At 48.2% G+C, this 14,020-nt stretch overlaps 1 protein-coding gene across 6 annotated transcripts in view, besides 3 other annotated features; it reads right to left on the bottom strand.

The window, feature by feature from the left end:
- WDR25 (WD repeat domain 25) overlaps positions 1–14,020 on the bottom strand; it is a 153,819-nt gene that overhangs the window by 97,587 nt on the left and 42,212 nt on the right. The window lies entirely within an intron of this gene.
- Positions 4,776–5,440: an enhancer, noted in NCBI's record as "H3K4me1 hESC enhancer chr14:100893614-100894278 (GRCh37/hg19 assembly coordinates)". NCBI's record gives its function as "activates a minimal SCP1, AML or CMV promoter by ChIP-STARR-seq in primed H9 embryonic stem cells {active_cell/tissue: H9 hESC(primed)}" and the evidence as "EXISTENCE:reporter gene assay evidence [ECO:0000049][PMID:30033119]".
- Positions 12,086–12,585: an enhancer, noted in NCBI's record as "H3K4me1 hESC enhancer chr14:100886469-100886968 (GRCh37/hg19 assembly coordinates)". NCBI's record gives its function as "activates a minimal SCP1, AML or CMV promoter by ChIP-STARR-seq in naive and primed H9 embryonic stem cells {active_cell/tissue: H9 hESC(naive and primed)}" and the evidence as "EXISTENCE:reporter gene assay evidence [ECO:0000049][PMID:30033119]".
- Positions 12,586–13,087: an enhancer, noted in NCBI's record as "H3K4me1 hESC enhancer chr14:100885967-100886468 (GRCh37/hg19 assembly coordinates)". NCBI's record gives its function as "activates a minimal SCP1, AML or CMV promoter by ChIP-STARR-seq in naive and primed H9 embryonic stem cells {active_cell/tissue: H9 hESC(naive and primed)}" and the evidence as "EXISTENCE:reporter gene assay evidence [ECO:0000049][PMID:30033119]".

Below are 14,020 nucleotides of genomic sequence, written 5' to 3'. Positions count from 1 at the left end.
CTATATAAGAGAATTTCTTGTTTTAGGAAACACACACTGAAATATTTGGGAGTAAAGGACTATCAGTCTTACTCTTACATGGTACCAAAAAATATGTATATATGCATGCTTATATATGTGGAATGGGTTATAAAATGATGTTAACATTTGGAGAAACTGGGTGAAGGGTGTCTGGGGATTCTTGATACTGTTCTTGCAACTCTTCCGTAAGCCTGAAATTACATCAACATTTTTTAAAAGGGGAAGAAAGGTGAGAAGATGGATTTTTTGTAGGCTAGTGAACTTGATGGAGTTATTTGCAAGGTCTCTTTCAGCATGCTACATTTTTGGAAGATTCAGGCATCGTGACAGTAAGCTTTCTAAAAATAACGAATGAAAGGAGTTGACTCTCTTACAAGTGGGATAATACCCATTGACTTATTATATTTTTATAGTGAGTGTTTCTGCAAGATATCTTCCTTTCCTTTCATTTTGTTTATTTTCTTTCTTTTCAAATTGCTAGCTTTGGCAGACTTCCTAACCTAAGTAAGATGAGAATGAAACACCTGAATTCTCCTTAGTGCTCCTATTTCAACCATTGTCATAATTCACAACTTGCTGATGCTGAAACTGGGATGTACAAGTGTAACACATCAACTGCACAGAAGAAACCCAAGGAAGAAAGGCACTCATCTTTGAGGAAGAATGGCAAAAGAAATTACCAACAAGGCTGGGTGCGGTGGCTCACGCCTGTAATCCCAGCACTTTGGGAGGCTGAGGCGGGTGGATCACCTGAGGTCAGTAGTTCGGGACCAGCCTGATCAATCTGGTGAAACCCCATCTCTACTAAAAATACAAAAATTAGCTGGGCTTGGTGGCGGGCACCTGTAATCCTAGCTACTTGGGAGGCTGAGGCAAGAGAATCACTTGAACTTGGGAGGCAGAGGTTGCAGTGAGCCGAGATCATGCCACTGCACTCCAGCCTGGGCAACAGAGCAAGACTCCATCTCAAAAAAAAAAAAAATTAGTTGGGCATGGTGGCAGGCACCTGTAATCCCAGCTACTTGGGAGGCTAAGGCAGGAGAATCACTTGAACCCCAGAGTCGGAGGTTGCAGTGAGCAGAGATCGTCCCATTGCACTCCAGCCTGGGCAACAGAGCAAGACTCTGTCTCAAAAAAAAAAAAAAAGAAATTACCAACAGAAATGCATGCATATTTCTCTAGGCCAAACAGGCTCTCCAACTGTCATATTCTCTGCATATCATCCTCAATATTAATTCAGTTCTTATGGATTATTTCCGAATATATAAAGAAGGAGGCTTTTATAAATAATCCTTTAACTGCTTTTATCAAATGTATATTACTTTTAATTTGTATTTAGCAAAATCAAACGAAAAACCAATTTCTTTCGGTTAACTAGGGAATTAAAGTACCTTGCCAAGCAGTTATATGATTCTAGAGAAATCCTTTAGAAAATATAATTAAGTCTCAATGTTCTAAAACCACTAGTCTTATCAAAAGTTATTTTATTAACTGAAGCTCCAAGGATACAGATACTCAAATCAATTCATGTCAATATTTTAATGTCATCCATTAATTAGCCATACTAATAAAATAAGAACACACTTCATAATAAATGTCAGGGGCCAAAGAGAGTGATAGATTAGCTAGCTGAGCAGAAAGGGCATTGATTTCAATCTGTAAGTGTGGTTAATGTGTCCTTCCATCGACTCACTCAGGAAACACCTACTGAAGGCCGGCCACATAGAAGCCAACGATGAGGCCAGAAGGAAGCCCTTCACCAGCGATTTATTCCTGCAGGCTGAGGCCAGAGGACACCTCTGGCACCGCAGGAGTTGGTGGATGAAATGACCCACAAGGAGGGGAGTGGGCACCTCTTAGGCCCCTTCTCGACAGCCAGAAATGTCCACGTTGCCAGGCTGGGGAGCACGAAGCAAGCCTCATCTGTGCAGGCCCACTCCGCACGTCAGCATGGGCTTCCTGCATCTCCACCATCCCTTCCCCACAGCCTATCGAGATGCAGCCTCCCTCACTGGGTCACCTATAACAGCCGCTGGTTCCCACTGTGCCTCAGTGTCCTCATCTGCAAACAGGGACCACAGTCCTGCCTGGCATAAGGTACGAGGTTATCAGTACATGAAGCCATTTTGCACATCAAGACTAGCCGTTATTTTAATTAAATCCAACACCCAATGAGTGAGCACCTACTTTGTGCCAGGCGCCATCTGACGTGCTGATGATAAAACACTCTCCTTGCTCTCATGCAGCTTTCATTACTCAGCTATAAGGTATTATTATGAATAAACAGACTAGGAATTTCGGCTTCATGGTATATGGCCCCAGTAGCAGCACCCCATCACCTAGGGCAAATGTCACAATTCCTCCATTTCCCCAAAGGGCTGAGGAGATCAGGAAGCAGGAGGTCCGGAGGTGACTCTGACTGGCTGGGCAGAGGTGGAGCTCATCTCCAGTCTATACCCAACATACCAGCCAGAGCCAGCAGGCCAAGCTTAGGATGTGCCTTCCCGGGAACACACACACACACACACACACACACACACACACCAGGCCCCCTTGGTCTGCAAGATTTGCCTAGAGCCTCTGGGGCCAAGTCCATCTCATCTTTCTGGAACCTTTCAGATTCAAATATAACAAACATTCATTGAGCACTTGCCATGTGTCAGGCAGCATACTAGGGGTGTCATGGATGTGTCTTCCCCAAAATTCATATGTTGAAGCCCTAACTCCCCAGGTGGCTGCACTTGGAGATGGGACTTCTAAGGAAGGAAGGAAGGCTAAATGAGGTCATATAAGTTAGGCCCTGATTCAACAGGATTACTATCTTTACAGGAAGAGACATAAGAGCCCTCTCTCTCCCTGCCCCAATTCCCTGCCCCCACCGCCCCACCCCAGCAGCACGCACACACCAAGGAAAGGCCATGTGTGCACATAGTGGAGAAGGTGGCTGTGTGCAACCCAAGGGGAAAGCCCACACCTGACACCAATGCTGCTGGCTGATCCTGGACCTTGGACTTCCAGTCTACAGAACTGGGAGAATATAAACTATCTATTGTGTGGGCCACTCAGTCTAGGGTATTTTGTTATGGCAGTCCAAGCAGACTAAGACAAGCAGTGTCACCTATATTATGGGGTTGAATCCTTGATTTTCTGACGTTCTCAGAAGCTGTATGTATAGGACTGCCTAGGCCTTCCCCCAGCCACTGGGGTCTTGGTGATTAAAGGCCTCAGGGCAGATGAACAGTGGGCTCCGATATAAGATGAACAGACATATCCTGAGCCACCTTAGCCCCTTGGCCCAAGGAGGCAACTTCTTCTCCTCTTTCTTTCACTCCAGGTCCTGCATGCCTGCTTATAGGTAAGTCTCCTGTTAGCCTCATAGGGATGGGAGCACACACAGCCCACCTCCCCACGGCAGGCTGGCCTCTGCTGCACCACCCCATCTCCCAAGGAAACGAGAAGCTGATGACAAGCTGGCGTCAGAGTTCTAGAAGGTGGATGGAGCAACTTCAGTGGAGCACAGGGTCACTCAGCACTTTGAGCACGGAGTCAGGACAGGTCCTGTTCTGCAGCCTAGATCAAAACCCGGGGGACAAAACACAAAGTGCCAAATGGAAGAAAATGTTCTAAAATGTTACAAACGAGTATCTACGGCACAGTGGAAACTTCCCAGTGACAGCAGTATGCACTGATTCAATAAGTGCAGGATCTGAAATGACTTATGTGAAGTGAAGCTGACACGCTCGGGAAACCATATTAGATGACTCAGAGTGGCTCGGGGGATGACGCCTCTGGTGCCAAAGACGCAAGAGGAGCTTGAGTGATATTGCTTCATGAAATGGAAGAAGAAAAACAAACCAATTTCATGAAATTAATTCATATGAGATTTTAAATATGAATGTGCAACTAAATTACATTCAAAGTAGAATAAAAGCGAAGGTACAGCACTTTTGAAAGAAGGTATCAAATGTTCAAAAATACATCCACTTGAAGAAAGAAGTGAAATGGCTCCTCACAGGGGCAGCTCTCAGCAGAGCACCTCCGAGGGATAAGACCAGGGAAGAGGGGGCTCCGCTGGCAAGGCCCCAGTACTCTCCTGGACAGCATGGAGCAGGCTAGCAGGTCGGCATCAACAGGGACCACCACAGGGGCCACCTCCACTAAGAACGCAGAGAGACAGGCACCATGTGCAGCCCCCGGCGCTCAGGCACTGTCCCCCATCCACAGAGGAGGACGCTGAGGCCCAGAAAGGCTAAAATGGCTGCCCACACCAGGCTGGTGAGTGGCAGACCCAAGACCCGTAGCCAGGCCGCCTGACTCCAGACGCCATGCTCTGACCAGGCTCGCTACACACACCAGGAAGAGGAAAGGACAACGCCCAGCTCAGTCACCCCACAGGGCCACCTGCCTCCCAGGCCACACTCACTGCCTGTAGGCAGAGGGGGACCCAAGATAGGCTGAGGCACAGCCTCAGCATCTCACCTCCACTCCGCACACAGAATTCTAGACGGGTCAGTGCCAACGCTTCGGTCGGAGCACACGACAAACGTTTCCTCAGATGGGAAAAGTGACCTTGCGTGAATGCTCCAGGGGGAACTGTGATGAGGCCCTGCTGCAGGGAACCTGGCTTCCCTCAAAAAGGAAAGGAAAGGGAGCGTGTTAGGGTCTCAGGAGGAAAAGGCTTCCAGCCTCGTAGAAGGAGCCTCAGCCTGAGGGCACGGCAGTCGCTGCAAGGCCTCCACTGGCTGTCCTGGCCAGAGAAACCCACTCCAGCACCACATCACCAGGAGAAACAGCAGGGGTGCAGAGGGAGTCATCTCCTGACACTGAGAGCCACTGAGAGCCAGGAGGCCAGGGCTCCAGCCCCTCCCCAGCTCTGGCCTCCTGTCCCTGCCTGGGCAATGGGTGGGGTGGTGGCAAAGGTGCCCATCAACCCAGCACTCCTGCCAGAAGCTATTTCTCTCACAGCCCAGACACCCCTGAATTTGTACCTTAAAACAAGCTCTATTTCCTTCAGTGGTGAAAGATGTCAAGTGATACAACCAGCTTAATAAAGCAAGTGATGACGGGACCCCACAGCACATCCTTCACCCACACGTCACCCCCGGCTCCTGCCTGGACACCTGCCATTAGCACACTGGTGGCCTCCAAGGCCCGCACCTACTCGGCACCAGGACTCTTGCCTCACAGAGATGGCACCTTCCTCCAAGGCACCGTGTGTCACTTTGCAAATGTTTCAAAGTGCCTACTGCACCCTGCTGACTGTGATCAAGCTGGGGATACAATGCAGTGAGCAAGACACACAGGCCCCTGCCCCATGGTGAACGGGATACATTTGGAGCGGGACAGATAAGTGCTGCAAGAGAGGAGACTGAGAGGCAGTGGGAGCACACTGGTGGATGCATCTAATGCAGCTGGGGGGCATGGAGGGCTTCGTGGGAAAAGGGCTGTCTCACAAAGTCAGGAAGGATGAAGCTGAAGAAGAGAGTAGGAGGAAGGAATGTCCCAGGCAGAGGACAGGCACAGGTGAAGGCTGGCCAGGCAGGGTGAAGGACAGCACGGCTCCACATAGCCAGAGCAGCAGAGAGGAGGAGGAGGAGGGCCCCAAGGTGGCAGGGACAGGTTCCAGAAGGCCTTGGAAGACACATTGATGGACCGGGCTTTTATCTGGAGACCAAGGGGGAGTTGCTGAAGGGTTTTAAGCAAGCCCCCGAGTGATCAGCTCATGTATGAAACCCCTCTGCCTGAGATTTCACTAGCTGCCACTAGAGAAACCACCACACAAGTAATAGACACTGGACCCCAGCTGGCAGTTTCCTAGGGCTGGGATAGCTAATGGCAGGGCAGCACCCATACCAGGCGGCATTGCTGGGGCAGGGGCGTATCTTTTGTTTCTCTGTGCCCGGTTGCCTTGCACAATGCCTGGCACCTAGCAGGTTCTCAGTAAATGGGGTGGGGCTGGGGGGCAGCAGTCTTCCTCTTCCATGGGAAAGATGGATAGCCGGACTCTGGGACCAGGAAACTTGCTCCAGAGGCTCCAACAGATCCCATTCTAGGATAGCTGTGGGGCTCAGGGAAGGGGCAGAGTGAAGAGCTCTGGAGAACTCGGCTCTAATCCGCCTTCCAATCCTGCGCAAAATACGCGGAGAACACTTGACAAATGTGGGCTGGGCGCACGCAGGCGTCTGAGTACTTTATTGACTTTTGACAGCTCTGCACGCCTGCCTGAAATACAGTGCCACAGTGCCATTGTCGAAGATTCATGCTTTCTTCAGAGAACTTGGAACACAAATTTATAACTTGTTGTCAAACAGATGCCCACAGTTCTTTGGAAGGGCAATCCCATTTGGGAAAAGTAGCCAATAACTCTTCCGAGTTGGAAGCCCATTCTCAGGTTGATTTCCCAAAGCACAAAAAAAGAAAAACAAAGAAAAGTGTAATTGCAGAAAACAATAACCCTACAGACATAACCCAATACAGAGCCCATTATCTTCTCTACACTGACTTTTCAATAATTTTGTGATGGATTCTCCCAGAAAACTTAATTTGTACTTTTAACCACAAGAGTTAGTGGGCCAGAAAAAATTAATTCCAAGCTTTGGCTTGTAGAGAGAGAAATAAAGGACATATCTATTAATTTTTTAAACTACCCCATGTGAAGCTGTGGAATGCATATTCACGATGACGGCGTGCGGAGAATAACCCTGCACTCATTTGGGCTTATGCAAATCCCATTTGGGGTGGAAATGTCAGGACGGCGTCCTCGCAAGGCCCAGGGTCTCGCCCTGGCCCCACTGAATACCCCTTGCCTCATGTTGAGGGTCAGCTTGCCCCAGGTGATTTCCCTGGCTGCATATCTGTGCCTGAAACCAAGCTGAAATTGCTTTAATTCTGTCCCTAGGTCATCACATGCCAGAGCTTTGGTAAACAGTCCACAAATTTCAGCCAGGGAAAACTATTAGATTAACAAAGACCCTTGAAATAAAACCTGTCATTTTTGAGAACTCCTTCAAAACGAAAGCTTGTCAGGACCTCATTAACAGCCTGCTGAGCCTGTGTCAGCACAGGGCCCAGCCCCCACCATCAGCGTCCGACGGTGCTGCCTGATGAGCTTCATGTTTAGGAGAGCTGGGCTGCCAGGGACCTCTACTGTAACGTGCAAAAGTCGGGTTCTGTCCCGGGTATCTTTCCCCATCAAACATATTTCACAGTCTAGGGGAAGGAGTAGAAAGAGCAGGGGCTTTGGAATATAGCAAATGTAGGTCCAAATCCTAGCCTCCCTAATTTTTAGCTCTGCAACCTATGGCAACATTTGTATATCCACCCAACAGCTACTCCTGGGTGTGTGCCACCCCTGTGCTGGGCACTGGAATGAGTCAGTGCAAGTGACAGCCCTGCCCCGTTACAGCTTAGGCCCATGGGGTGACAGGATGTGCACATTAAGGGAGGTAGGATGGAGAAGGGCTGACACAACCAGCCTCCAAGGACCCAGGACCCACATCAAGGAAGAGGAACTTGATCCTGAGCCCTGCAGGCCATGGGGCCAGCAAGGGACACACCCAGGTGCACAGTTTTTAGAAAAATCCTGGCTGCCTGGGGGCATGAAGGGGAGGCAGGGGAGAACATTTCTGAGGCTGCTGCACTTGTCTTGGCAAGATATGATGGTAGCCTGGGCCAGGAAGGTGTGGATGAAGAGAGAAACAGACAGACCCAAGAGATGCTTCATGGGGAAGCCACGAGCTGTGTGACTGACAGGCCTGAGCCACCAAGCAGGAAGTGGGATATTATGCCAGGAGGGGCAGGGCAACAGGAGCACATGTCCTGGGAAAGGCATCACCTTGTTGAGCCTGAGTTTCCTTGTCAGTGGAATGGAATGATCAAACTTACTCTGCTAGACTACAAGGTGCCTGGCAGAAGCTGGTCCATAGTAGGTGGTCACGGCTGCCACTGCTGCTGAAAGGAACCCTGAGATCAGCCTAACCACCGAATCGCACCAAGATTCTAGGAAACCAAGACACCAGGGCAGGAAGGGCTGGTCCCAGAACCTGGGCTCTACATCCCCAGGCCCAAGACATTCCCACGCAAACACTGGACAGGCAGCAGGGCCCTGGGCCCCAGACTCCACAGGCAGTTAAACCCCTTGGCTGAGCACAGGCATGTCACACCTGGTGTGGGGCCTGCTCCCAGGTCCCAATCTCATGCCATTTTGTTCCTCTTGATACAAGAAAGCCCTGGGGTCAGTGGCGGGTCCCCAGTAGCAAAGGATTGTCCTGCTAACTCTTAACATGCAAACAAGGTCTGAGGTTTAATTAGGATAACAGGTGCTGATGTTTGTTTACACGGGATGCAAACTGTGAGGCTGTGAACAGTCTGTCATGGAAACAGAGGCTAATGCCCTGCTCCTTGTTAGACTTCTGCTGGCACCTAGAACATGGTGTGAAAACGCCACAGGCTCTGAAACTCAGCTCCCTGGAAGTAGTGTGGGCATCGAAGTGCCTGGGCTCAGGAACACTCACCCAGCCAGCCTGGGAGGCCTCGCCCGTGGTGCCTTCCTCCCCTTAAAACAACAGGTAATGAATGCCTTGTTTATACCCAATCTGGTTGGTACAGGGAGGCCCTGCGAGATGGCCTGTGGCACACCTGGCTGTCCCCACTGTTCTGAGGGGCAACACGTGTCATCTGCCTCCCTGGGACCAGCACCAAGCCCATCCTGGGCAGCTGTGCCACCTGAGACTCCTGGAGTGGCCCGTGCCCCATCATAAGGTATGGACAGCAGTGCCCAGTGATGTTTTCAGGACACGCTGCACCCACACAATCCAGAAAAGTAGCCCCTCAAGATGTAGATGCTGCTTCCTGAGTGCCTGCAAAAGACCTGGGCTGACTCAGTGCACAGACAAGATCTCATTTCCGCAGCACAGGCTCTGGTTCTCAACACAGATAAGAATCCAAACACCCCTTAGGAGGGAAGCAGAGAAGATAATGTTCTCCAGCACGCTGCAAATAGTGTTCAGAGTGTTCAGATGGAACCAGATTAAATTAAAAGTAGTCAAAAGTTCCGTTTTCGAGGAAATTCATCATAAAATTCTTGATCTGACATGGCTATTTTCCAGATGTTTTTGAGTGACGTCAGCAGGTTACCTTGATAATTATAATAACCGAACATTTTGAATTATTTGGTTCAACACGTTTCCTAAACACTCCCCAATGCCAGCCTTTGTGCCAGGATCTGAAGGGACTTTCCTCTACAACCTCACAGTACGATCGGAATAAGGTGTGTCTGACTAATTGGGTGCTATGTGGCCCAAGGAGGAAGCCCACAGCCAGCCCGTGGGTCCAGGTATGCCCACACTGGGGCCTGCCAACCACCGACAGCTTCCATCCTCAGTGGCATTCTCCACAGAAGCTTCATGCACACGCTATTATAACAGGGGAGATCAGGCTGGGGGAAATCAGTACCAGAAGTAATTAAATGACCAAGGAGACAGCAAGAGCTGGAAGAGAGACACATATTGGCACAATTTCTTATTACTATTATTGTAATAACACATACCAAGAACAGGGCTCCCAGACAAAGAGAAAGCAAGCTTCAGGGCATTTTTAAATTGGGCAAATTATAGAGAGGTGAGAGATTAAATGAAAATCTATCACATTACAAATACAGCCTGCAGTTACTGAAATCATATTTTTTTCATAAATGAGTCATACCAACAGTAACTCCAAGACCTTCATAATAGTTTGCAATAAACTCTGTGGGACGCTCGCCACTTCAATCCTGAAAAATTGACATCATAAGCCAAAAAATAGCACTTTGACGTTTCTGTCTTCTTTAGGGCACCCAGCTGGGAAAGGAAATAAAACACCACCCCCAGGATGGAGCACAGGGCCTGGCCTCGCCAGTGGGCAGGCAAATTAAAACAATAAGATCCTATTTCACACCCACCAGAGGGGCAAAAAATCAAAATCCCTAACAGCAAATGATGGAGAGGGTGTGAAGAAATGGGAACGCTCAGTACGCTGGTGGGCGTCCACGGAACAAATACTCAGGAGGGGAAGCTGGCAACATGTGGTCGCGTCAAAGAGGGCCATCATGAAGGCCCGTCAAGTCACCATGAGGGGTCCCAGCCCCAGAAGCTTTCACAGGGGTGTACAAGGATGTACATCTATAAATGCCAGTATGAAAACAGGTCTACCAACTCTGTGAGGCTCGTCCCATTGAAGGTGGAGTCCAATCTCCCTTGCCCTGAATGGGAGGCAGCCTCAGTGACTTGCTTCCAAAGAACAGAATGAAGTCAACAGATGCTGCCTGCCTTTGAGGCTGGGTCACAGAGCAATCTGGTTTCAGTATAGGGGCCTCTCAGAACACTAGCCCCTAGAACCCAGCTGCCATGGGATGAGGAAGCCCAGACCACATGGAGAGGCCACATGTAATACTCCAGCAAACAGCACAGCCAGGGTCCCAGCAGACAGCCAGAATCACTCATCGGATGCTGAGCGAACAGACCTGCAGATGCTTCCATTTCTAGCCTTTGAGCTGCCCCACATGATACCAAGTGGAGCAGAGATGAGCTGCCCACACCAAGCCCTGCCCAAACTGCAGATTCAGAAGCAAAATAAACATTATTGTTTTAAGCTACTAAGTTTAGAGGTGGCTTATTAAACAGCAATAAAAAACTGGAACACATGTTCACTACAATATTGTATGCAAGAGACAAAAAGTAAAAACAACCTTCCAGGAGTAGGAGAATGAGTAAATAAACTTGAGCTTATTTATACAGTGGAATCCCACACACCAATGAAAATTGAATGAACCAGATGGATAGATGGATGGATGGATAGAGAGATAACAGAAAACATAATGTTGACTGTTTTGCAAATTGCAAAAAACCACAGAGTGTAATAACATGTACATAAACCTTTAAAATACAAAAGTATTACATATTATTTATGTCATTCATAACATATGCAGGAAACATTTAAAAGCATGCCCACCAACGTCAGGGGAGTGGCCACTAATGGAAAGGGAATGAAGTAGGGTTTTAGCTCTATCTGCCATATTTCATTCCTTACAAAACAAAAAAGAGGTACCCAGTATAAATACGGAAAAATGCTAATAACTAAAACCTGGTGGTGCATCTATGGAAGTTTATTTTATTTTTTTGTTCTTTTCTGTAGGATTAACATAGGTCACAAATCACTCATTTCTACTCAGCCAAGGTTAAGCTTGGTTGACACAAGGGTAACAGTGTGATAGGGCAGGGGTAAGTCAGCCTGCTTCCTCCCCTCTTCTGTGAGCTTCCCAAAGGCCACGACTGTGGCTCACAACCCCCTGCTGCATATGGTAAGTGCTCAATAAACCTCCCTTTGCAAGACTGACTGGGGGACCAATAAGCCCAGGAAGATTCTGTCCCCTTCTCTGGTTCATAGGAATCAAGGAGAGAGCAAAGGATATTTTCTAACCCAAGGGACTCTGTGAACTTGAAACACAGGGATGAAAGACTATCCCATTAATAAGAAAGAGGAGCTCTTTCCTAGTCCTGATGCCTACTCTTCCTCTTCTCTGTCTGGACACTGTTAAAATTCCAGTTTTGGCCGAATGGAATGTCACAAACACAGGCAGTTGCAGACGAGGGACATGCAGGAAAAATAATCATATTTCTTCTTATAATGACCCAAATGCAGGAGATACACTGTTTCAGCAGACAGAAATAAAAAGACTCATCCAGCCAGAGGTAAGAAAGGAAGACTGAGATGAGGAAAGCATAGCATAGACAAAGGCCAGCAACATCCAGGACAGTGGGACAGAAAGATGCAAACAGCCAGGGTCGCTCACAGCATGGCTTCACCTGGGTCCAGCCCTGGACTCTCTCTCAAGTCTCCTGTTCCCTGAGACAAACGAGTCTCTCTCCACCTGTTGAAGCCACTCGAGTTGGGTTTCCTGTTATCTGCAGCCTCATACACTCCTAGCTAATACAGTGGTGAACACCACATCATGGGACAGCTGGGCATCTTTATTTTCCTTTTTCTACCTTTTTCTGTTCTTCAAATATTATTACTATAAGAAGATTTTAATATATTTTTAAAAAGTTATTCTTAGTCTTGGCTAGCAATTCCAACCCTAGCAATAGAGTCTAAGAAACTAACTGCACAGAAGCTAAATATTATGTACATAAAGATGATCACTGCAGCACTGCCTATAAAACAACAATAAAAAACCTGCTGGAATAAAAAGCTCAATGTTCAGCAACAGGGATACAACTAGCAAATTGTGGTACAACCACATGATAGAAGATGACTATCCTGAAGGCTGTAAAAACAGGGATACTGAGCTTTAAAAACAGGATCCAAAATGATATATGAAAAATCCCTATAGAACGATAAAAAAAAAATGTGCTTACAAGTGAAAGGTAAAACACAAACCAAAAGTTACTTGCTGTGGGCCTGGAGGTCCAAGCCAGTGGAGGGAAGTGGGGGAAGGGGTTGCCAGGGCCTGCGGCCCATGTGCAGATGGGGGCTGTGGAGGCAGTGAAGGCCTCCTTGCCCAGGAGACAGTAGCTTCCAGGCTTCCAGATGCCCCTGGAGATCCAGGCAACTAGGCCTTGTGAGGGGCCTACAGGGTGGGAGGCTGCTCATAGCCACAGTTACAGACTGACCACCAGGTGGGCCCTGCGAGCACCCGTTCACTCCCAGGTCCACTCTCACACAAGCCCAAGGCAATGGGGCAACCTGATACAAAGAACCCAGGGGAAATTCCACATCATGTGCCCCTGCATACCAAATTCTTTAGAAAAGACAATTTCCCATTAATTTCAAATGTGCGTGTTCTCTGGGGATTTAATACAGGGGGAGTTTCTAAGCATTTGCATCTCTGTCCCATAATATAAAGCATGGGCCAGGGGCATGAACTGCCTGTGTTCACAACATCATCCTATTTGTGACAGATTAGATAGATTAGACGCGAGGTTCCACCTTCCTACCTGTGATCTTTCTCTGCTATAAAAACAACTCTTGATGTCAGTGTCTGAAATTACTTGCTCAAAATTATAATTATTATATTAATGTGGCTAACTGTAAAACTATACCTCGGCTTTCTAAATGAAAACACCAGGCTGCCAAAACTTCTAGAATAATTTAAACTAGTAATGTGATAAAGACTATTACATCTCCAAAGACATTACCATAGAATTTTCCCCCCATCTCAACAAGAAAAGATGCTGGACTATATTGGAAGCCTCTGTGAATTGCCTAATTATAGTTAATAAGGTCATCATCTGCTCATGAAATAGCCTTTTCTGTTTTCCAACAGAGCATTCAACAATTCTAAACACTGTTCATCTGAACACTCCCCGAGAAAGCTATCACATCACAGGGTAGACAGCAGGAGAAGGAAGAAAGAGGTAGGCGGAAGGAGCGAGGCCCCAGGAAGCCGCAGAGAGACCCCTGTGGAGACGGGAAATAAATTTTTTTTTTTTTTTTTTTTGTGATGGAGTCTTGTTCTGTCGCCCAGGCTGGAGTGCAGTGGCGTGATCTCGGCTCACTGCAATCTCCGCCTCCAGAGTTCAAGCAATTGTCCTGCCTCAGCCTCCCAAGTAGCTGTGATTACAGGTGTGCACCACCACACCTAGCTAATTTTTTTTGTATTTTTAGTAGAGATGGGGTTTCCCCATGTTCGCCAGACTGGTCTCAAACTCCTGACATCAGGTGATCGCCCACCTTGGACTCCCAAAGTGCTAGGATTACAGGCGTGAGCCACCACGCCCGGCCTAGAAATAGAACTTACTTAGAGCCCATCATTTCAAGGCCAGGGTCTCAGGTGAGACAATGGGAGTCACAGGAATTGTGGGTGTAGGGACCACTCCACACCCCTGCCTGGCAACCTGAGTCCAATGCCAGGTCCCTCCCGGAGTAGGTGTGGCGTGAGTAGGACCCCCCCCCGCCACCGCCACCCCAAACTCCCAGGGATGTCCCATAAACTCACCTTAGCATAGACCCTGACCGTTGTGGC

Source organism: Homo sapiens, chromosome 14 (genome assembly GCF_000001405.40).
Source record: "Homo sapiens chromosome 14, GRCh38.p14 Primary Assembly".
Taxonomy (NCBI): domain Eukaryota; kingdom Metazoa; phylum Chordata; class Mammalia; order Primates; family Hominidae; genus Homo; species Homo sapiens.
The sequence above is the reverse complement of the archived record's forward strand: the minus strand, read 5'-3'. Positions and strand labels throughout refer to the sequence as shown.